The sequence below is a fragment of the Homo sapiens genome, chromosome 12 (genome assembly GCF_000001405.40).
Source record: "Homo sapiens chromosome 12, GRCh38.p14 Primary Assembly".
Classification (NCBI taxonomy): Eukaryota; Metazoa; Chordata; class Mammalia; order Primates; family Hominidae; genus Homo; species Homo sapiens.
The window spans coordinates 67,569,129-67,593,498 of NC_000012.12; the positions used below are offsets into that span (position 1 = coordinate 67,569,129).

General features: G+C 39.2%; 1 long non-coding RNA gene across 1 annotated transcript, besides 2 other annotated features; it reads right to left on the bottom strand.

Annotated features, from left to right (window-relative positions):
- Window positions 1-1,561: 1,561 nt before the first annotated feature.
- LINC02442 (long intergenic non-protein coding RNA 2442) lies at window positions 1,562-20,862 on the bottom strand. Its single transcript, NR_183543.1, has 3 exons — window positions 20,738-20,862; window positions 18,028-18,178; window positions 1,562-2,177 (listed from the first exon to the last, which is right to left on the bottom strand). It is a non-coding gene; the product is annotated as a long intergenic non-protein coding RNA 2442 (long non-coding RNA).
- Window positions 20,479-20,698: a silencer, noted in NCBI's record as "fragment chr12:67983387-67983606 (GRCh37/hg19 assembly coordinates)". NCBI's record gives its function as "represses an EF-1alpha promoter that drives an FKBP-Casp9 reporter gene in an ReSE screen in HepG2 liver carcinoma cells {active_cell/tissue: HepG2}" and the evidence as "EXISTENCE:reporter gene assay evidence [ECO:0000049][PMID:32094911]".
- Window positions 23,736-23,825: an enhancer, noted in NCBI's record as "active region_6629". NCBI's record gives its function as "activates an Ori minimal core promoter by ATAC-STARR-seq in GM12878 lymphoblastoid cells {active_cell/tissue: GM12878}" and the evidence as "EXISTENCE:reporter gene assay evidence [ECO:0000049][PMID:35858748]".

Genomic DNA, 24,370 nt, shown 5'->3' on the forward strand with positions numbered 1-24,370 from the left:
AAAAGTCCAATATAGGTTTTTTTTTTTTGGCAACTGTAACAATAGTATTTCCCATGTACCCAAATTGTGAGTCCTGCTTATTAGAAATAATTAAGATAATAATAATGCATTGCTCCTCACTCTGTCTGGTGTCTTTAGATGGACCTGGCTGTCCACACACTGGTGTACCTGGAATGTGCAAAATCTGCTGCAGGAGTTAATGTCTTATCTCTGACTATTCTGATCTGACCTGTTGCTGTTACTTCTTTATTTCCTCAGTTCCTTCATAGGCTCTCAGACTCAGCTTTGATAATTTGCCCATGTTCCCCACACCTTTGTTCCCCATGCCATTGACTAGTCTATTTGGGACACACTTTCCTGTTTTCCCTTGGGACTTTAGGACCCCATTTTTGTATTTGCCTTTATCTTAGTCTGCTTGAGCTGCCGTAACAAAATACCATAGACTTGGTGGTTTAAAAAACAGATTTATTTTCTCACACTTCTGGAAGCTAGAAGTCCATGATCAGGGTGCCAACTAGGTATAGTTCTGGTAAGGGTTCTCTTCCTGGCTTACAGATGGCCGCCATCTCCCTGTGTGCTCACATGATTTCTTCTTTGCATGAGCATGCATAGAAAGAGAGAGCAAACAAACAAGCTCTCTGGTGTATCTTCTTATAAAGGCACCAATCCCACCAGGAGGACCTCATCTTCATGACTTCATCTAAACCAAATTTTCTGCAAAAGGCCACATCTTCAAATACCATCTCATTGGGGGTTAGGTCTTCAACACATGAATGGGAGGTTGGGGACAATTCAGTTCATCACAGCCTTTTTTGTCTCATGAAGCTTGATTCGAGGTAAAAGACAACCAGAAGATGACTTTCAAATGGCGAAAACTTAATCTCATTGATTCTGTCTTTAAGGAATATGCTGCCTTTATTGTTTTCTTCAAATTGATAGCAATGTATATTTTTAAATTATTATTTAATTGCATAACACTTAATATGAGATCTATCCTCTTAACAAATTTTAAGTGTACAGTGCATTATTTTTGACTATACATACAATGTACAACAAACCTCAGAAGCTTATTTAACTTACTTAACTGAAACTCTACACCTGTTGATTAATAACTCCCACCTCCTCCTACTTCCAGCTCCTGGTAACCACCATTCCAGTCTTTGTTTTCTAAGTTTGACTATTTTAGATACATCATCTAAGTGGGATCATGCAGTACTTGCCTTTCTGTGTTTGGTTTTATTTCACCTAACATAATGTCCTCAAGGTCAATCCATGGTGTTGCCTATTACAGAATTTCCTTCTTTTTTAAGGCCCAGCAGTTTTCCACTGTATGTATATACCACATTTTCTTTATCCATTTATCTGTTGATGGACATTTGTTTTCACATCTTAGCAATTGTGAGTAGTGTTGCAGTGAACACAGTAGTGCCAATATCCCTTCAAGATCCTGATTTCAATTCTTTTGGATACATACTCAGAAGTGAGGTTGCTGGATCATATAATAGAAACATATTTTTAAGGACCTTTTAAGGTTTACCATGAACATTAACTACTAATATTCTTTTTCTGTAAGATCTTTTATTTCACGAATCTGAATTCTTCTACCAAGGGGATTTTTAGGAATCAAATTCTCATAGTTGGTGAGAAACTGGTATATTAAGAATATAAATTAATTACATTGTATGATATTTGAGATTTTTCATTAGATATCATCTAAAATATCACATTAATATTCATTCATTGGCTTTTTGGTATAAATCTTACTTTTAAATCAAAGTATAGAAGAGATTTTGAGGGAAATGCTCTCAAATAGCATAGCATAGATGAGACATAATTGATTATTTTATTATGCTTCAGTGCCAATTGTCTTTAAGATCCAGTAGGGAAACAGAGGGTGGCATTAAAAAAGTTTGAGTTGTGATTCAAATACAAGGTGTCCAGATGGAAACCTCTATATTAGAAGCACATTTTTCCTGCACAGTTTTATCTAAGATGGGCTGGAAGGGATCTGGAGACCTGCAGGAATGTGTTTAAGGATGGCAAAGATAAAAGTCTCTGAGTAATGTGGGAGGAAGACTGGGTGTTGATGGTGTTTCCTTGACTGCCGTGGTCCCAGTAGCTTCCTCCTCTTGAGTCTGGCTGTGTTCATTGTTAATGTCAGGAAATCAGGCAGCATTCTATGGAATGATGAAGAGGATCTCAGATAAGTGAGAATTAATTACATGGGATAGGCATTGCCTAAAAGCTGTCATTCTTCAGTTGAGTGCCTGCAGGGGACAATCGGATCCTCCTGCAGTATAATCACCACCTTACAGTGGAGTGACCTGATTTGCAAAAATACAGCAATAATAAAATAACATTTACATAGCAATTTATACTTTACAAAGAGATTTCATGATCATTTCTTTATTTTATCCCTGTAAATACTCTGCAAAGGAGATAGGGCAGGGAGAGCTACCCTTTTTCTAAAAGAAGAAGAAACAGAGAGAGGTTGACCTGCCCCTAATCATACAACTACTATGTGGGAGAAACCTGGTTTCCTGGGTGCACTCTTGCCACCACACCTTGCTCCACTGGTGAGTAGGAAAAGCCACCCAACTCTTCAGACCCACAGCAAAAGAGAATGTGCAGCCTGCTGCGAGAGTGTGTGTGCATGGATATGTGGAAGTTTGCGGTAATGCTACAAACAGGGAGCATCACAGTAAAAGACACTATTTTATATAACAGAGGTGGCACAGGGAGAAAGAGAAAGAAGGAGAGGGAGAGAGAATGAGAGTAAAAGTGAGAATAAGAGGGTGGATCTTGAGGAAAGAAAGAGGGTGATGGAATCTGAAAACCGTACACTAAAACTAAAAACCAAAATGTCAAAACTTTTTTTGTTTTTGTTTTTCAAGACGGGGTCTTGCTGTGTTGCCCAGGCTGAAGTACAGTGGAGTGATCATAGCTCACTGCAACTTCCAGCTCCTGGGCTCAAGTGATCCCCGCCCCACCTCAGTCTCCCAAGTTGCTAGGACTACAAACACACACAACCATGCCTGGCTAAGTTCTTTAAAATTTATTAATTTTAAAAAAATTGTTTTAAAGATGAGTTCTCGCTATGTTGCCCGGACTTGTCTCAAACTCCCGGCCTCAAGTGTTCCTCCCACCTCAGCCTCCAGAGTTGCTGGGTTTACAGGTGCAAGTCACTGCACCTGGAGTAAACATTTTCTAAGGGAACAAAATAAAAGAGAGAGAACTCACAGAAATGAGACCACTCAAGTCTCAAGCCCTATCTAGCATAAGCAAAACACTACCATTATAAAGAAATGCCTGAATAAACATACAGTCTAAACTCACAGAGCTCCTTATTTGGAAGGAGCATATCATCTAAAAGGATGAATGATATCTGTAAAGCTCACTGGAGACAGGCTCAAGGTGGTAGGTAGTTGGATTTTCCAGGATCAATAGATTGCTTGAGGCAAGTACCAGCAACAGAGCCAGTGGATGGCCACCTCTAAGAGGCTAGGGTCATGTTTCAGCTTTTCTTTGTAAGGGAAACTCCCTAGCCCCATGGTTTCCCAGCATTCAGGGCAGCACAAGAACCATTAATGGGAACAGAAGGTAGATGCTGGACTCAAAATCTGTACTGGATCTCTGCCACTCTGACTTGGCCACTCCATTTAGAGGCCTCTTGTTGCAGGGCTTTGGTCAGGAGCTCTTTTATAGGCCTGCCCATGCAAAGAGTATAGTTATCATGTGAAGAAAGTTTTCTCTGACCCCTGAGGGTACAGAAAAGAAAAGGCTTGTGTGAGTACTGAGTGCCAATGAACCTGTTAAAAAGATGTTCTGTTTAGGGCACCTCCTGGAGCACTTGTTCAATCAGTGCACAGAGCCTGAGTATACTTTGGAACTGGGAGGGAGGGCAAGTGCCTGAGGAGTGCACCTGTCAGACATTGGTTGTTAACCACTGTCTCTTTCCACTAAGCCTGGACATAGCTAGCCAAGCCACTGTCATCAATAACCAGTCTGAATTGGCATAATAAATAACATCTCTTTGCCAACTTTCTCCTAGATATTCGGGTAACGTTACACACTTGTTACACTTTTGTGATAGGCAATGAACAGTTTGGGGGGGACATGAAACATTATGAGAAGGTGAGACAAGCTTAGGTTCCCCAGGTGAATATTTGGCCCTATTTTACCATGGGCCAGAGTCATTAAATGCTTTAGTCCTTTGAAAGATGTAGCGGCAAGAATAGAAAAGGTAAGGTGATGAGCCACCCAGTTATGGAGCCCTCCAAATGCTATGGGGATGTAAGCACTCTTGGAAACATATCTGGCCACTGTGAATGAAAACAAATGGATCAGAACCAACTACTTTTAGGATAAAATATCATCACAATAAAAATATGGTAAAAGACAATAAATAAGAAAAGGAAAAAAATCCACAGATCACTGGCTGCTTGGATTTTTCAAAGAAAAGTATGTAGCTGGTGCTATTTTTACACATCTCGGGTGTATTTCCAAGGCCACAAAATGAGTTGACAATGATTTACTGACTTTTGAACATAATTTGCAGCTGCTTTGTATCTCAAACTAAGTCTCAATTTAATCGTGAATTAGTCGCAGCTATGGTAAAATGCAAACTTCAATTTAGCATTGGGAGAGAGAGTAAAGTCAAAACAACCACTTGTTTCTTGATTCAACCAAGTAATTGGTTGATCTGGGGAAGAAGAAAACAATTGTTTGAGAGAATTGGTCACAAAGATCTCAGCAGACTCTCAACACAGGCCCAGCCACTGAGCCTGCGGCCATGTCATTATTGCTGTTTCCCCAATAGACTGTTCCCTCAATGGCACCGACGTTCTGTGATTATCTGATGAGACCACTAGAAACCCTGAATGGCTCAGTTGTCTCTCCTGCCAGTCTCCTTTCCTCATACTAAGGCTTATTATGTGTGAAAGAAATAAATACATTAAGTGGGAAAGTGATAGAATTGAAAAGACAATGAACAGCTGCATTGAAATATATCTTTTCAATTTAGTGCTTTATTTAAGGGTTTCAACTCAGCATAGAGACATTACGTTTTCTTGAGCCATCCAGGAAATCATATCAGTTACAAGAAGGTTGGCTCACTTGAGCCTCTGATTTGCCTGCCCATTTAATGGAGAAGATAAAAGGCTGCATTAGGCTCTCTACTTTGTCCTTCATGGGACTCCATCTCAATTCTCTGCAGTCATCCACACTCTTTTTTTTCCAAAGACCTATTGACTTTAGGGAGGGTTATTATTGCAAATGCAATTTGGTTAGATGCTCAAAAGAAAAATGCTTGACTATCAGAAACCACTATCTAAGCTAATTGCCCTTTGAGTGCAAAGTAATAAAGCTGAGAATCCATGGCAAAATTAAAAATGTGTCCAACCTGACAATTTTCACCTTGTGTTAAGGTCAAATTACTTATACTTATTCATAAATGAAGTTTCCTGACCTTGTTTTATGATTAAGAAGTGTATAGCACATTGAGTAATTACATAAATATCCTTAGTATATGTTGGATACATTAATAGTGTTATGGGGATAGGGAAGCTATGCAAGGCCCCAAACTCTACCTCTAAAAATTGTATCCTTTTATCATGTGCATACCCACAGCTCCTTTTATATTTGTTTAGTACTTCCCTCATTATCTTAAAGTTCTATTTTATTTATTTACCTGTTTATTTTACTGTTATGACTTTCCATTTGGATGACTGCTCTTTACACCTGTTGAGAATGCAGACCCCCTGGGGGCAGCTGACCAGCCTTAAAGTGAAAACTAGTGTTCACAAGTTTATCACACTGTCCATGCTGAAGTATTTTAAAGTAGATTCTAGTTAACATACAAATCTCTCGTGAGATCAAAGTTAGGAAATATGGTTGAAGTCAAAGGGTGTAATGGTTAATACTGAGTGTCAACTTGATTGAAGGATACAAAATATTGATCCTGGGTGTGTCTGTGAGGGTGCTGCCAAAGGAGATTAACATTTGAGTCAGTGCGCTGGGAAAGGCAGACCCACCCTTAATCTGGGTGGGCACAATCTAATTAGCTGCAGCATGGCTAGAATATAAGCAGGCAGAAAAATATGAAAACAGAGACTGGCCTAGCCTCCCAGCCTACATCTTTCTCCTGTCCTGGATGCTTCCTACCCTTGAACATCGGACTCCAAGTTCAGTTTGGGGACTAGGACTGGCCCTCCTTGCTCCTCAGCCTGCAGATGGCCTATTGTGGGACCTTGTGAGTATGTGAGTTAATTCTTATATATATATATATATATATATATATATATATATATATATATATATATATGGGTTTATGAAGAAGGTGGGTATAGATAACTCTGCATTTTTGCTAAAGGGGAAATGGATCAGTGGGTTACCAGAAAGTATTTTGTTTAGTTGCAAAGCAATGGAGCATGTCAAAGCAATGATATAGCAGAAGGGTAAATAGGTGATTCAAGAGAAGGAATAATTGCAGAGTCAAGTCATATATACCCATAATAAACCCATATATGTATATATATATTCCATTAGTTCTGTCCCTCTAGAGAACCCTGACTAATACAAAGGGACTTCAGAAAACTCTATTAGTCCCATCTTTATCTCTCTCTCTTTTTAATTTCTTCTTCCTTTTTAGCTTCTTCCAACCTTCCTTCAACATTTCCATTTATAATAAACAATCTTAAACACAACTCATTCCTCTGCAAAGACGTGGAATGTTTTTCCTATTTTCCTTACATTAAATGAGTCATAACTTACTGAAACTTAGTGGAAAACCTACTGACAAAAGAAGAATATTGACAATATAAAACCACTGGGGAAATGGTGTGAAGCAAGGAGGAGGTCCCTAAGCCTCTTGAACAGGGCTGATAAGAGTGAAATAGGTGCTCTTCAGAGTCAACGGAAACAGTAGGGATGGTGGGGTTTATTCTAGGACCACATAATAAGAGGAATGAAAGTGCTATCTATAGTAATTACATTTTTTACACCTACCATATTGGCAAAAAAATTGATAACATGAAGATGTGTGGAAATGCATTCATAAATTATTGGCAAACATACATTTTTACATTCTTTGTAGATGTCCATTTGCCAATATCTATTAGAATTACCATTGCATATAAATTTTGACCCCAACATTTCACTTCTAGGAATTCATTGTTCAGTTCCATGTACACGTGCAAAGACATATGTAGGAAGATATTTCTTGCAGCATTGTTTATAGTAGCAACTAAAATAAACAGTAATAAGGAAATGGTAAAATAAATAAAATATGGCACATACAGCTCGATGCTATATGTAGTCATTTATTAAAAAATGAGGCAGCTCCATATGTACCCATAGACATGGAACATTCCTTGCCTCAGTTATCTATTTCTATCATGATGGCATGTAACACATCATCAAAAATTTAGTGGCTTAACACCATAAACATGTATTTAGCTTAATCATCTGTAGGTTGATGATTTAGGCTATGCAGTTCTTCTGGTTTCAGCTGGGCTTGCTTGCATATCTGTGGATCAGCCGGATATTGGCCAAAGTGATCAGAGGAATCTTTTCCCCCTCCACCATCAAATGTGCCATCATAACTCCATTGGTGCCCATATATTGTGCCTTCCCTTGTGTCATAGCAGGTGTGCTGTCCTGGCTCCGGTCTGAGGCTCACCCCTTTATGAGGTTATCTACTTATTGACTTGACTCTGCAATTATTGCTTCTCTTGAATCACCTATTTACCCTTCTGCTATATCATTGCTCTAAAAACATGCTACATTGCTTTGCATCTAAACAAAATACTTCCTGGTAACCCACTGATCCTTTCCCTTTTAGCAAAAATGCAGAGTTATCTATACCCACCTTCTTCACTTCCTCACTTTCCATTCTTTCTTGAACCCACTCCTGTTGAGCTGTTGTCCCCACCAATCCACTGATACTGCTTTTGCCAGTGTCTTCATCGATTTCCATGTTGCCATGTCAAATGATTCCTTCTTCATCGTCATCTTACTCAACCTCTTGGTAGCAGTTGGCATAGTTGATCACTTTATCCTTCTTGAAACTCTCTCTTCTTTTGGCTGCAAGGAAACCTCCCTCCTTGTTTTCCACCTATCTCACTGGTTACTACTTCTCATTTTCTTGGGCTGAATCTTTTTTATCTTCCTAACTCTTAAATGTTGGAATACTCCAGGCTCAGTCCTCAAATCTCTTCTCTCTTCTTTCACAACTCATTTCCTAGATGATTTCATCCAACCCCATAGTTTTAAATACCAACTATATGTTGATAGATCTCAAATATACTTCTCTATTTGTCTTATAAGAAATATTATTCCCTGTCTGTGGAAAAATGCAATAAATAACCCTACACATATATCTTTCATTAGTATTGATTTTACTTCTTGGAAGTTGATAGTTGGGAGGAATGGTATATTTTTCAATTCTGTTGCTATTATTAAATTGCTCTTAAAAAGACAGCAACATGTCACATTTCTACCAGAAATAGTGGAGAGTATACTTTTTCTTGCAACTCTGCAAGTAATAGGTATTCTCATTTCATTTTTGTGTCTGATGGGTTCAAGGAGATGTCAACTTTTAGTAAGCGGTGGTAACAGTCTATCTAGTGTAACTGACTGGCCAGAGTAGCAGAGTGAGAGGTGGTAGGAGGGTTATTGTTGAAATAACCAATATCCTGTGCTGTGTACTGTAAGAGAAGAAAAGAGAAGAGAAGAGGATGGGGTTTTCTGTAAAGGTTCTAGTAGAACAGCTGACCAAGCTTCCTAATGTGTTGAAGATTGTGGTCCAGAGACTTTTGGAAATATAATAAATGTCCACTTTAGGCAATTGTATTGATTAATGTCAGGTGCAGGGTGCAGCTAAAAGTAACAGAGACAATAACAGTACAAAAAATAATATCTTACGTGATAGTCTGGAGGTAGCAATTCAGGATTTCAGGGTTGGTAAGGCCCTGCCCAGTGTCAGCCTTTTCTATCTGTTGAACTGAAATTCGTGGCTTCAGTTCCCAATGTCACCTCATAATCAAGTATGGCTGCTGGAGCTCCAGCAATTACATCTACATCAAGTGGAAAAAGGAAGAAATTGAAGAAGAAGAACACATTCCTTCCCTTTAAGGAAATTCCTAGAAACTGTGCACACCAATTCTGCTTATAGCTCATCAGCAAGACCAGGAAATGTCTATTCCGGATGGCCAGCTAAAAATCGAGAGTTCTTTTTCCAGGTTGACTGAGAGAAGTAGAATGTATAATGGAGGAAATTAGAAATTTCTGCCACAGCTATCACTGTCTCAAGTAGAAATTGTCTAAGAAAAGGCTTAACTACAATGATGATGGCAAGTTCCTGGGTTTGGGTTATTAAACACAGCCTTAGATAGGAACTGATTATCTTGAACTAAATAGACATGATTGGGTTCATTTCTACAAACTTCCTCACTTGTGGTTCTCAACTAGCATTGATTTCACCCCCCAAGAGACATTTAGCAATTTGAGACATTTTAGTTGGTCCCAATTGGGAGATGGTGGATGCCACTGGCATTAATGGGTAAAGACTAAACATCCTACAATACACAGGACATTCACACAACAAAACTTATCTAGTCCAAAAATGTCATTAGTGCTGAGGTTGGTAAACCTTTCCATAAGCAATTCATAAAGGCTTTAGTCAAATTTCAGGGTCTAAGCAGAGAGCTGTGTGCATTGCCAATTTTGAGCGATTAAAATAATTACATTTCATATTACTCTGGCTTCATTTGGGCCATGGAATTCCTCATTTGATCCACTGGGTGAGAAATTAAGTAATTATTTCCCCAAAACACATGATCTCTTTTTATGTAGACTTTTTATGTTGCTATGTGGCAGTGTGACCTATCGTTATGATGTTAGTACGATCATTTCAGAATCATTTTCAACCCTCTAGACCAACCTACTTTTCTATCCTTCCTGAGATGGGTGATGTTTTCCTCTTTCATATTTCCTGTTTCTCACTGCACTTACCACATTGCACAATAATCACATGTTGACACGTCTGAATCCCCTACTGGATCACAAGCTCCTTTAAATCAGGGACAATATTTTATTTATTTTTGTATTTCTAGTGCCCAGTGCAGAGTATGCAACTTAGCAGGAGCTCATAAATACACATTGAACTGAACTGAGCTCCTGTTTATCCTTGGGCCTCTCTTCATTCCAGGCCTGCTTGGATATCTTCTGGTTTGGCACTCACAGCAAAGAACCTATCACTAAAATGCTTCCCATTCTGGCACTTCATCTAAAATCCAGAGGATGGGAAAATTCAGAGAACAGGAACTAAGGTGTTAATAATTTAGTTTCTCCTGTGCCCTCTCTGAGTCAGCTGCCTCTCTGTGGTTTACATTTTCTCCCAACCACATCCAGCTTTCAAATATAAGTATCAACTAAAAACTCATTGAGGTGGTTTTTGATGTAGGAAACAGAAATTGAGTGTGTTCCATTTTAAAATTTTCTTGAGGGAAAGATGATACCACCTGGCCTGAAGTTGGCAGGTTGGTTCCAAGGAGGTTGAGGAACAAAGGTGGAGGAGGTAGGAAGCCATAGCAGTGAAAATGTTTGCAGGCCCAGGAGCAGGATGAGAATTTACTGCAAACTGGCGGGTGGTGTCAATTCTCTATTTTGGTTGGTGGAAGAGGTTAGCTATCATGAGAGTCCACAGGCCTATCCACACATCCTTCAGCAGGCTTCTATTGAAGGATTCTTCTGCCTGGAGATAGTTAAGGTGGTTTCTCTTTCACTAAGAACATATCATATCCAACAGAATCCAGCACATTCTAGTTAGAGATTTTCTTGAGACCAATTTATATAACCTAACAACTATTAGGTAGAAAAGGATCTTCTCACAGCACCATGAATAGAGACAGCTTTTTCTGACCACTCATCCATCCTCATGTTTTTTTGGGGGGGTGGGGCAGGGGGGTGATTTGGGGGTTATGGTTTATTTAATGAGATGCACGGCCAATAATCTTTTAAAAATATCAAGAATACAATATCTTCTGTACTGCTGTGATGCCTCTGTTGAGACTTACTGAATGGCCATGCATGGAACTTGAATTGACCAAGACCATTTATTCATTCATACATTCAGTCATGCATACATGCATTTAATTTATATTTATTGAGCTTTTACTAGGAGCTAGATGTTCATGAAGATTGTAAGACACTTTTACTAGGAGTTAGATGTTCATGAAGATTGCAAGACACAGAGCATGGTTCTGTCCTGATACAGTCTAGGCAAGATAAAGATAAAAGGTGGGATGGTGATAAGAACAATGGTGACTAAGAGCTTAAGAAAATGGTACAGAGTCAGAGTGTCAGTGAGTTCAGAAGAGTAAGCAGTTCTTCAACATAGACTCCAGAGGTTGGGAAAAACTTGATGAGAAGTTGAAAACTGAGCTGAGTCTTGCAGGGTGGGTAGGATCTGGACGTGCCTTAGGGCTCTACACCTGTGGTTCTTTCTTCATAGAATGCTCTAATGCTTGGATCAATCCTCTTAATTTTTTATATCTCAGATTAAAAGTAATTCCCTCAGAGAAGGCTTCCATGACCCACTGGATTAGGTAACATGCCACCTTTACGTGTCATCATAAATGTACTTCTGTGTAGCACTTATCAAAACTAGAGCTTAAAGCTCCTGAAGGAGGGACTATGTTTATCTTGTTCACCTTTGAATCCCCAGAACCTATTAAAGTTTTTGAAACTGAGTAGGTACACCATAAATATTTGTCCAAATAATAAATGAATAAGTAGGCGTAGAGAAACGGTGGGTGTTCCTGAGTAGTATGAGCGGGTGTAGACATGAGTGTGTGCATGGCAGGCTGTGAGGTTCTGTGTAGATTGCATAGTATACCTGTGTGTGGAGCAGTGGAACATGATTGTGAGGGTGGGTTGACTGTCTAATATCAGGGAAAGAGGTTAGTCTTTTTCTATTGGTCATGAAGCTGTGGAAACAACATACTGAAATTGATTATTTTGAAAATTAATCTGTTTATATTACAAGAGTGAATTTGATGAGGAAAGGATTTGTAGAGCTTTGCATCCTTAATAACTAACAGAAACAGGGCTGCCTTTCAAGAATCTGGAGTAGGAGCTAGTTTATTAAACAGTGACTTAATATTTTCAAACTAGAGACAATAAGGGTCAAATCCCTACCTCATAGAGACATGGAAAATGGAAGCTCCTCGTTCCTATGATAGGTTGTGTAACCCCCATGCAGGTTTATTCTGTGAGGATGCTAAATATACCAATCAGACTGCTCCTTCATTTAGGAAATTGCACAATGAAGCTTTAAAGATTAAAATTTAATTCCTTCCATGAGTTCATCTGAATTGAAATGTCTTTTGAAAACCCAGATTGCAATATCCTCTCCCACTACTCCTCCTGACCTTTCCCTTCCTTGATTCCATTCCTCTTTAATTTCCTGAGCTCTGGCTCATATGTGGAGAATTTATTTCATTCTACAACCTCCCAAGCATTTACTCATAAAAGGATGTCCTAGAGGCAGAATGGAGCCATGTAATCATGAACACTGATTATGTGGCTTCCACCATCCTGTGGGCTCTTCACTCTCCCCTTCATTAGACCTTCAATTAGACTATAAACTCCTTGAGGACAGGGTCCAATCATAATTCACCCTTGCATCCACTTATCATTACCTGCATTTTGTGGAGATAGCTCTTTGGTATGTTTGTTGAATGATTTGAGTCATTCAACAAACGACTCAAGAATGGGTCAGAAGTTTAGATGCAGTTTGCTGGCTCTCATCTGGGAATGAGAGAAAGTCTCATACAGTCCCTCTAGAACTAGGACTTTTCTGGAATCAGAGTAGAATCAGCCCCACTAATTCTGGTGGGTTCTGGTTTCACTTTAGCCAGACTTGGCTACCTGTCCTTTTAGTTATCTGACCAATTTAGTTATGCTACTAGGTCCAGGCTTCTTACTTGGGAGGTGGCCAGGCACATGCTAATGATTCCAAGTCAGAGTTGCAGTAGAGTTGAGAGGGATAAGAAATAAAAATGTCCCATTCTGTGACTGGAAAGTAATCTACTAGATCTATTAAGATTCCTGAAAATGACTCTCTAACATTATGGTATGTGTGGAATTGCTCACACATATGTGTATTACACACATGTAATAAACACGTGAATGAAGTTTGCTGTTCGTTTCACCCCATCTTGTAAATACAATTCAGGCAAATGGAAGAGTTGGCAGAGCAGTGGAAAAGGCATTAGAATCAGATTCTATCTTCCCAATAATTTAATAAGACTCAGCCTTCTCACCCATAAAATAAGGAGTTGGAATACAACAGCTCTTTAGAGCACTTCTAGCTCTCAAATTCCATTATTCATCAGCCTGCCAGAAAATACATCTTCCCTTGCCAAATATGGACTCAACACCCCACCTCTTCCAGAAGTTCCCCAGATACCCCTACACACCTCCCTGGTTTCAGCCTCCTACTTCTCCAGCCTTCTCCAAGGCATTCTTCTCTCCCACTGCTAGCCCACACCTAAAAAAATGACTTCTTTTTATCAGCTCTTTTCTCTTTGCTTCCTCTTTCTGCATTCAAACCAGATTCGTCTCCAATATTGTTTGTTCACTGCCTAATGAAGATCAGGTCTGCAGTATGATTCTCATGGGTCCCAGGCACTTTTGCCTTCATGGGCCCCTTACTCCATTAAAAAATATTAAAACTGTTATTTTACAACTGTGTTAGTATAAAGTTGATTATTTTAATACTTTATATTAAAACATTTTCTGCAGCCTCAAGATTGTTGTGTGTGTGTGCGTGTTGTGTGTGTGTTTACTACTACGCCTAATGGATGGGTTGGCTCTGGAGGAAATAAGTAATCAATTACAGTATAGTATGGTAATTATACACATGTCCTATGAATAAGCAATAGACCTACACCCAAGAAAATTAACATTTTTTCTTCAGTGGAGAGAAGGAAAGGTCAAAAACAATTCAGGAAGTTAGAAATGGTAGATCAGGGTTCAGGAAAATCCCCCTTGACTGTGCTGCTCTACTATGACCCTGAAAGTCCTCCATTTGGCAGGCAGCAGCCTACCTAGTCTCTGTGCCATCATTCACTCATTGAACATCGTATATGTTGCAGGCATTGTTCAGGTGCTTGGGATACATCTGCAACTAACACAAACAAGGTTTCTTCTTTTAACCTCCCTGTAATGTGAATCTGAATATGAAGACGTAGCTTCTTGAAATGTATTATTTCCTGCTTTATGCAGTGGGAGCAAGGGGCTGATGCATTTCCCAGTGGCTTGGGGGTAAGGAGACGGCAGCACTCAGAGCTCCCTGGCTATGCTCATTAGGGAAGGCTCTGCCTGAGGAGTCCCTTAGTGGCAGTTCATATGATTACTAAAGATTATCTTTCTGAATCAAGATTGCTCTTCTGAAGCATGTTTGGGGGGAGTTCCTTGCAGGTGCTTTATTTCTCTAGGAGTTTCATGTTAAATATATTTGATATTGATGTAACTATTGCAACATAAATATTTTGCCTTAAAATAACAACCCTGGTTCCTTTTACATTTTTATAAAAAAAAAAAAGGATGACCCGATTTTATTTTCAAGGTAACAGGTGGAGGCTTCCAAATTTTCTACATGGGAGAAAGAAAAAGAACACCAAATGTTCTGTGCTTGCAGGAAAAACTCAAAGCATAGCTAATTCAAGCAATACCATTTGTTAATTTATCACAAGTGGGAGATACAAAGAGGACTTTTGAAATGAAGTCTAATAATTCCATATTAGGTGTGGTCCATGGTGCTGGCCATTTTTTACAGGTGAATTTTGTTCTTGTTCTTTGAAACTTGGTGGCTATTGAAAAGACTTTAGTGTTATTTTCCTATTAATTTAGACTCTAGGCTGCCTAATCTTATTGTTTCCAAAGTTGTAGAGGAAATTGTTGGCTCCCACTGGGAAAGAAAGGAAGACATTAGACGCTATCTTATAAAGGGAGCTGCATCTTCTTTTGAGATTCATGCATAGAAATCAATTGGGTAGAGAGCAATTGCACGGGATGCTAACAATGGTAGAGATGTTACCAGTCATCATTCTAAGTCTTCACTGTCTCCAAGCCTACTATGGTCCATACACACTATTTTTTCTCACTGTATTCTACATGCTGAGTGGACTGATCAAATTCAAGGAATAAACAGTCATTATTTATAGGGAACTTTTGGGATGGACTCTTATAGGACATAGGGTAATTCTTTGACCCCCTGCCCCCCCGCACAAAAATCTACCTAAATAAATCTAAGTATCTTTTGTTTATAGGAAGATTCTTATGAACAGCAAGCAGACTTTTAAAAACAGAAAAATTTCACTGTAGTGTGGATGCTTTGGGGCTTATACCATGAAATAATAAAGTCTGTATAATGTACTCTTAATTATGAGTTCATTTCTATGACTTTTTATTTCTCTCTCACTTCTTATTTTATATAAGGTGATTAATTATAGATTGACAATGAAAGAAACACAGACTTACATACCCACGGATTAAAGAAATCAGTCATTACATTTAATGGTGAGCCTAACAATGAGAGATGTGCTTCCCTTACGGTGTTTCTCGTTCAGGGTTAGTGTTAACTAGAATCCTGAGGGAAATTTGGCAAGGAGAATACTATTGAATTAAAACTTCGCTGAGTCTTAGTCCATTGAGCTTAGGAGCAAGAAAGAAAACCACATTGGTCAGTGTGGAGAGGTGTTAATAAAAGCATCCTTTGCTGTTTATCATTTCGTGGCTGACAGGCCTCCAATTGCGGGCGCCTAGAGCCTTAGCCGTGGCCCCCAGGTCACAGGAGCATGCTGTGATCCAAGAGACGAGGCTGAGCAGCCTTCATGTGGCAAATGCAGCAGGGCAGAGGCAACAGGGAACATTAAATGCATTTGCCATTGGGTAGGCAGCGTGAAGAGAGCTTTCATGAAGGTTTTAAAGGAGCTGGCAAAAAAAAAAAAAAAAATCACAGCTCCTCACAGACTTCCTCTCTGAGGAGATATCATGAAATAGATAAGGAGCCTCATTTGCAATAATTAGAGGCATAGTGTCCTCTATACATAAATGTTTTAGATTTCAGCCATGTAATGAGTTTGTTGTGAATATCAAGACTGAAGGAATGGGAGTGAATGGCTGCTCTGAATCCTGACACCAAAAAGATCTCAAAAGACAGTATAAGTGGTTCTGACAAGAAGACGGATTTCCAGGCCTTTTGAAAACCACATGAAATGAAGAAGAAAAAACCCATCCAAAGCATCACATTTTACAAACCACCACATGTGATGAGAGACATAAATGCAGCAAAATAACATAGGTACAAATGTGGACACAGAGTCCAATCTAGGTCCAGGTGATGCACAGTTTCGTTAGAGAGAAACTATCTAAGATACCTTGTCTTCTCCCCATGGCTTTCCCTGTGGAAAGTCTAAGAATTGTGACAAAGAAGTCTTTGCTTCTTTGGCTTTTTATGGAAATACAACTGAATTTGATTCAAGAAGTCGAATCTTATCTTCAAAGTTCTGAATAGGTTAGATTTGAGCTATCTCTTTAGGGAAGAATAATAATGAAACCACCAAAGTTTTAGAAATTGTAAACTCATTGGGTATAGCTTTTCAGGCCCTGGAGACCTGTTATGTTGATGATTTTGAGTCAGGACAAAGAATGCCTGTGCTTGCACATAATTAAGTGTGCTTAGAATAACCACACCTTCTAGGCCTACAAACAAAAGCATCATCAACATCATATTAATTACTATTATTTTCATGTCTCTCAGAGCCCTGTATGGCAGTTTGCAAACCAGCGTCCTTGACTTTGCTTCCACATAGACATTAAAGCTTTCTGGTCAAAAGCCCTTTCGTTATCACCCTGGAGAAAAACCTGTAGTTTGGCAATATTGCTCAAGAAAAAATATTTTACCTCTTCATTATCAGGTCAACCAAATTTAGCATTTCAAGTGACCTTTACAGAAAACTATTTTAAATTGTGATAATTGCACTTTGGTTGTCTGGAAAAAATCTATAATGTGCAAGTAGAACATTTGAATGTTGCATATATCACCTTATATTGGAATTTAAATGCATTATCGATTCCAATATTAGGGGCTAATAAATTCTATGAGTGGGTTAAGTGGCATTACATGTTCATTGATTCTCTAGAATCTTCAGCCAATATTGGAAAACATGGAACAGGTTTTACCCTTGACCTAGTATGATAATAAATTGAGGAGTTGTCCTAATACTTATAAATATTTAAAAATACAGCAACAATCCATTATCCACAATTCCAAGGTCTCAAAATTTCTGAAAACTGTAACAACTGACTTGGTGGCAAAACTTAAACTAAGTTTCTGGCAGCGCAACCTAACACAACCTAGCCTTACTGACATAAGAATATTTACAGTCTTTAATTTATTCAATGTAAACTTTAATAAATGTTTCTGTAGAAATATCAGGGTGCTTTATTACAGAGTACTGCATTGGAGTTGCCATGTAATAATATAAAGAACACTTACTCTTATATCTTTAAAACCCAAAAAGTTCTGAATCCCGAAATGTGTCTGGTCCCAAAGTTTTGTTGAGGAATTGTGGACTTCTTTAACCTGTGTGTTAGGCATGAATCTCAGGGCCCAAGCTATGCTATGCAAAAACATTCCTTTGGATGTTTCTTTTCAAACAACTTAAAGTTGAATCTGAGTCCCCCAAAGTCATGGCTGGAACACTCTGTCCCGTCTATGTAACCCCCAGTTGAAGAAGACATACCAGGTGCCCACAGATCAGGACAAGTTCTTCTAATCTCCACTCCATCATAGTTGCCCCTTAGTTCTCCCTACAGTAACAAAATCATCCTGATTTGCCTAGAACTTTCCTAGTTTTAACAATGAAAGTCCTGTATTCCATGAATTACCCCAGATAACATGGGACAGTTGTTCACTCCAGCCCTTCCCCAAGCCTGCCAGCGTTTTGCTGACTCTACCTTTTTGCTTGGGTCTTGCTCTTTTGAGGTACACCATGCAGTTTGGAGGTCTGTTGCTTCCTTGAGGCACGGTAAGGAGTGGTTCCAATTTGGGGTGCTCACGGGATCCACAGATCTCTCCTTTCTTTCCTCTGCCTCCCCATCTCCTGATCTGCAAAAGACATGCACTTTCTCTCAGCCCCTCACCAAGACGTCTCCCATTGTCTTTCAGTGGGCTCATTTTTACACAAACAACAGGAAGAACACTAAATTGAGATGGCATCTGCTTTCTTCCCAGCAAAAATACCTGAGGCACAGAAACCCAAAAAGCCTACTTAAAGTTGAGGAAGGGGAATACAAAGAGAACAAGCCCAAATTAATACATTAATAAACTGCCCAGCCACACATCGTCTGTTTTACAGAGGCTCCCTTCTTCATTAATTCGACAGATGGTGAAGCCTTTAGAGGGAGCACCTTTGTTCTCATAAACCCTTCTTTTGGACAATTACACTTCTTTAATTGTTGTATGCTTTACAACACTCTTTCACATACATTATCTCATAGTAGGGAAAATATTATTATCCTCACATGTAGACGGAGAAAGAAATAAAGACCTGAAGGAGTGTAAATGATGTCATCATCAGCACCCCTCAATCAGTATTTTTTGGCAACTCCATGCAAACAGTTTTTAAAAGTCTCAAAAGCCAAATATCACCATCCTGATAGCTGCTTTGGTTTCATAAATTCAGAGGCTTTTTCTTTTTAAAGTCTTTTGAATGAGTCTCTAAGGATTGATATCCTCAAATAATATTTGCATTTGGCCCTGTATAGTGGATACAAAAACAAAAACAATCAACAAAAAAGAATACTGCTCTTTTACTCTTGTGAGGACAACAAAACCTTAAATGCATCTAGACACAAAAACATTTTCAACACACAGTTCATAGGAATGTCACCCAGATGCAGTAACTGAGAGACAAATGGGATTATTTGATTTGGAAGAAAGTGCATCGGTATTGTGATGGTAAGCCAGCCTCCTCCATTGCCACTTTGTTTCTTCCCAGCAGAATCACAAATTCATTTAGGTACCTACTCCACCCCATGAACCTCAGGAGAAGCTGAGTTCCAGGAGTGGATGTTATTGGTCTAAACCTAGCATTATCTCTTTTTTCCAAGAATTAGCCAGAAATTCCATGTCACCCATTCTGGTCAGTAGGATGGAAGAAACGATTTTCTGGAAGTTTCTGGAAAAGCTTTTACACACGTAAGACACAGAAATACAGTTTCTCTCTTCCAGCTGATGGGAGTGAAGATGCTAGTACTTCAAGCCCTCCTGGTAGCCATCCTAGATCCTGATGGACCTGCCTGAGATGGTATTGATGGGAGGATAGAGAGGAAGAAGTTCCCAGGTCATTGATAAAATCACTGGGCAACTGGGTCAGCCAATTCTGAAGCTTGTCTTACCTCTGGACTTTCTTTTATGTAATCTAACACTTGTCCTAATTATTTGAGCCAGATAGAGTTTGGTTTTCTGTTCCTTGCTGCCAAAAGCATCCTAACTGACACAAAGAATTATTCCTCTTCCACATTTGTCTTCCTTTCACAGATGAAGAAATAGGGACCCAGAGAAGCCATATAATGTATGCCAAGGTCACACAACCATGATTAAATGCCTTTTTTGTGTGTGAGATGGGGTTTCACTCTGTCACCCAGATTGGAGTCCAGTGGTGCAATCTCAGCTCACTGCAACCTCTGCCTCCCTGGCCCAAGCGACTCTCATGCCCCAGCCTCCTGAGTAGCTGGGACTACAGGCATGTGCCACCACACCCAACTAATTTTTGTATTTTTGTGTAGAAATGGGTTTTGGTCATGTTGCCCTGGCTGGTCTCGAACTCCTGAGCTCAGGCAATCCACCCACCTCAGCCTCCCAAAGTGCTGGGATTACAGGCGTGAGCCACTGCACCCAGTCTGTTTAAATGCCAACTTTATAAACCTAAGATTAGTTGTAAAGGAAATTTTAGAGATGGCTTTCAACATAAGTTGGGTAGCAGATTTATAACAAAGTTCTGGCTGACATTTAGAATAGTGATAAGCTGAGTAATAATATTCAACAGGGAATCTCAGATAACTTCAAGGGGCCTTTTGGAGTCCTGGTGTTTCAATCCAGAAATTCCTTATCCTCTCAGCATTACGTCTGCCAAGCCTACACACCAAGAAACCTGGCCCTGGGATGTTCTAGACAACAAGAAGTTCCATTTAACCACATTCCTTTAAAGTCAAGGGCCAGACTTAGGAAGCCAGCTTCTTGCTTTCTCTCTTCAAGCCCCTACCCGGGTACTTCTAGAGTATGAGAATCAAGGTGCCCAGAAAACAGAAACCAGCAGCCCAAATTGGAGAGAATTTAGACCTTAAAATCTTCATGGGCTCAAAAATTTTCTCATTAGTATCTGCCTTCTGATCATAACGGTCCCAGAAAATTCAAAACATGTCTTGCGGATCTGAAGCCACCCTGCATCTCCAGTGTTAGCGTAGCTCAATCCCCTTTTGTTTTCTACGTTCTTCTCCTTCTCTTCTACCGTCTTTGTCCACACCTCCCACATGTCCACCATATCCAGCCTGGGAAAGGTGCAGCCATGGCTGGGCACGGGAAGGAAAAGGAGGAGTGATGTGCCGTCCCCTCCCCGAAGTCTCAGCCCCAGGGTGGGGTATTATTCTACTTCCTAATCCTTACATTTCTGCAGTGGTTCCTGTCTCTAAAGTCTTCATGTCTCCCTCCACCATGTTTCTTGATGACACCAGAGTTTTATTTGAGAAACATGGAAAAACTGGCCAGTGAGCCCCTCAACCCCAAACCACACCCCCTTTGTGTGGCAGCACAATTAATACGAAGTCCCAGTGTTTGTGTCTGTAGCCTATATTGTTTGCCGTCTGCCTTTGGGAGAGGCAGACCTCCTTCAGGGTCTATCAGCGGCACTTTATTGTTTGTATCTTCTATTTAAATTTTTAATACGGATACATTGATAATTTTAATTAAAAATAACTTTCTGCATTACTTCACAACCTGTTTCTTTTTTTTAGTTTGCGGTAATATGTTGAGAATAGTATGTGATACCTGTGGCAGGAGAGAGGAGTAGATTCCTTTTAAGGCAGTTAGAGGAACTCCTTGTTGTTCAGGCAAGCACCAAGGCAAGAAGCAGTGACAATTTTTCACTGACAGTGCCCCAAACTTGCCCTGCAAAGCTTAAAAGGAGACGCTGCTCTTTGAGGTCCACTGCTTGAATCCAAGGCATGTGCTATGCTTAGTGGAGTGTGTTTAGAGCTCCTTTTTCCAACATGCCAAAAAAAAAAAAAAAAAAAAAAAAGATGCTCATGCTACTTCTTGCTTTCTGTCTATTTCTTTCTTGCCCTTAGGCTTAAAAGTAAGCATGATGGAGAACAAGAGAGAAGGCGTGCCCTGGCAACCATTGCCAGGAAACAGATTTCACTGAAGTCATAAATTAGAAAGATAACCCACTTACCGGAGGTGGGTTCATATGCAATGCTGAAAAATCTGCCAGTATAGAGAATATTGCTACCTTTAGCTTCAGTTTTTTTAATCACTCATGTTTGATAATTATAAAGATGTTTAAAGAGGAAATCATGATGTATAATCCTATCACTGTGTAAGCTCTGCTGATACTTTTTCTCATATAAATGTTTTCTTATGTAAAAATAATAAATACACATGGTAAAACAAAAATCAGACAGAAATATACAAAACAGAAAGTAAAAGTCTACTTAACATATGCTTCCTGCTTTCTTTATTTTTTAAGCTTAAATTTGCCAAAGGAGCTTCCTACTTTCAAAAACTTCTTTACACACACATATATAAATGTGTGTTCTTTTTTATTATTTATGTAAAAGAGATAATGCTGCTCACTTTTTTGGTCTTATATCTTTATTTTTCACTTTTTGGAAATCTACATCAATATTTTAATTCTGCTCTATGACTACATCATATTTTATTGAACCAATCTGCTTTGCAAATGAATTGGTGGATATTGTTGTCAATGAATGATTAAAGGACTTCAACACATTAGAATTAAAATGAAGCTATGAAATCACCTCAATTACCATTTATGAATTTATTATCTCTACTTAACAAGTGTTTATTGAGCACCTAGTATATACCAGACATTTTCTTAGGTGCCAGGGATGTAAGCAGGATAATCATCTCTGAGTCAAATGGATCATAGCCTAAGTGGAGGGAGATAGCTCAGCAAATCAATAATTACTGTCACTGCTGAGATATGAATAACAAAAAATGCTGTAGCCACTGAGATTAGAAGCCCAGTGTAAGCTAAAGTTAAAGGGTTAATGAGGAGAAAATCTTGAGCAAGCCACATGTGGGAAGGCTTGAAGACATGAAGTAGCACAATGTATTCATGGAGGTGCAAGAATTTGGGGGTGGTCAGAGCACAAGTTTCGTGAGGGAATCCAGCCTAGGCAACAGAGCAAGAGCCCATCTCTAAGGCCTTTAAGCTAGAGACAGAGGCTGGGGTCAAAGCCATACCACAAACTTTATCCCAAAAGCCATAGGGAGTCATTGAGGTTTTAAGTACTGTGGGGAGAAGGGAAATGGGAGTGATGTGATAATTTTTAAATAATTTAAGAAAAAAGCAAAAATTAAGGATTAAAATAGAAAAACTTCTGGCTACAAATTCACTCTCAGCATAGAGAAAGGAAATAAGAGCTAGATAAGAAAAATAAACGGGCTGCAGGTGCAGTGGCTTATGTCTGTAATCCCAGCATTTTGAGAGGCTGAGGTGGGAGGATCACTGTAGTTCAAGACCAGCCTGGGCAACAAGGTGAGACTCTGTCTCTATAAAAATAAAAATTAAAAAAATTAACTGAGCATGGTTGCTCATGCCTCTAGTCCTAGCTGCTTGAAAGGCTGAGATGGGAGAATCGCTTGAGCCCAGGAGTTTGAGATTATAGTGAGCTATGATTGCACCACTGCACTCCAGCCTGGGTAACAGAATGATGAAAACCCATCTCTTAAAAAAAATGAAAGAAGGAAGGAAGAGAGAGAGAGAAAGAAAGGAAGGAAGGGAGAAAAGAAAGAAAGAAAGAGAGAGAGAGAAAGAAGGAAAAGAAAGAAAGAAAGAAAAAGAAAGACCAAGCAAGCAGGGAGGGAGGGAGGAAGAAAGGAAGGAGAAAAGAGAAAAGGAAGGAAGGAGAGAGAGAAAGAAAGAAGAAAGGAAAGAAAGAAAGAGAGAAAGAAAAGAAAAAGAGAAAAAGAAAGGAAGGAAGGAAGGAAGGAAGGAAGGAAGGAAGGAAGGACGGAAAGGGAAAAGAGAAAAGGAAGGAAGGGGAAAAAAGAAAAGAAAGAAAAGGAAGGAAGGAAGGCAACAACAACAACAAAAACAGATTTCAAATGAAAAGTGAGTACGACAGGATACTGAGAGTATGAGCAAGATAACAAATTATTAAAGGATAGTTAAGAAAGGTAAATTAAATTTTTGATACAATATTCTAACTTAAATCATTCTAATGAATTTAATTCTCAATAAATATACTTCATAAAATCCATCAGGTAAGATGATCTTTGGCAAAGAAAAACTAGGATCCTTCTGAGTGGTGCACTGGAGCCAGCTAAATTGGTCATGGTAGGAGTATTTATACCATGGAAACTGGCCAACACACAAATCAGTTTTGGTTTTGCTTTTGTTTTCCCCAAGAGTGCCTGTTGTTAAACATTTGTCAGCACACTATTGAACCCTCCTTGAGTGAAGCAACTAGGAATCATTGAAAACATCCACAATTTAATTTCTTCCAGAGACACCAAACTATTTCTATGCCTCCTCCCAATCCCCTCAAGTCCTAAAACCTATTTCATTGTCGAGATTATCAGCACATCAAAACATGTATTGTAAGTCACATCATTACATTTGCAAGGAGATAAAGAAATTAAAAAGCATAAGCATAAAGACAGGTCCTATGACTCTTGTTGCCCAGCCCTGGTGAAGACTAAGAAGCTGATAACTAGTGACAACTCTCCATTTTAACAGCCTGTTTCCCACAGGTGAAAGGGACCCATCATAGGCCTGCAGTGATTCTGATGACTCACAGGAAAGCAGTCCAGCTTGTTTGGCCAGTTCTTGGGTTATTGGACAGTCATGAATAGCTTTGGAGCTACTAAAGTCTCCTCTGGTGCCCTGAAGCTTCATTACTTCCATGAAATTCAGAGAGAGGTATTTATTTTACTGTTACCACTTTGGTATCATTTTATGGTTTCTCTTTCCAGAAACTTCTGTGCCAGAGCCAAAGTAATGGGACTGGATCTGTCTTTTTTTTTTTTTTTTAAGTGTTCATGATCATGCAA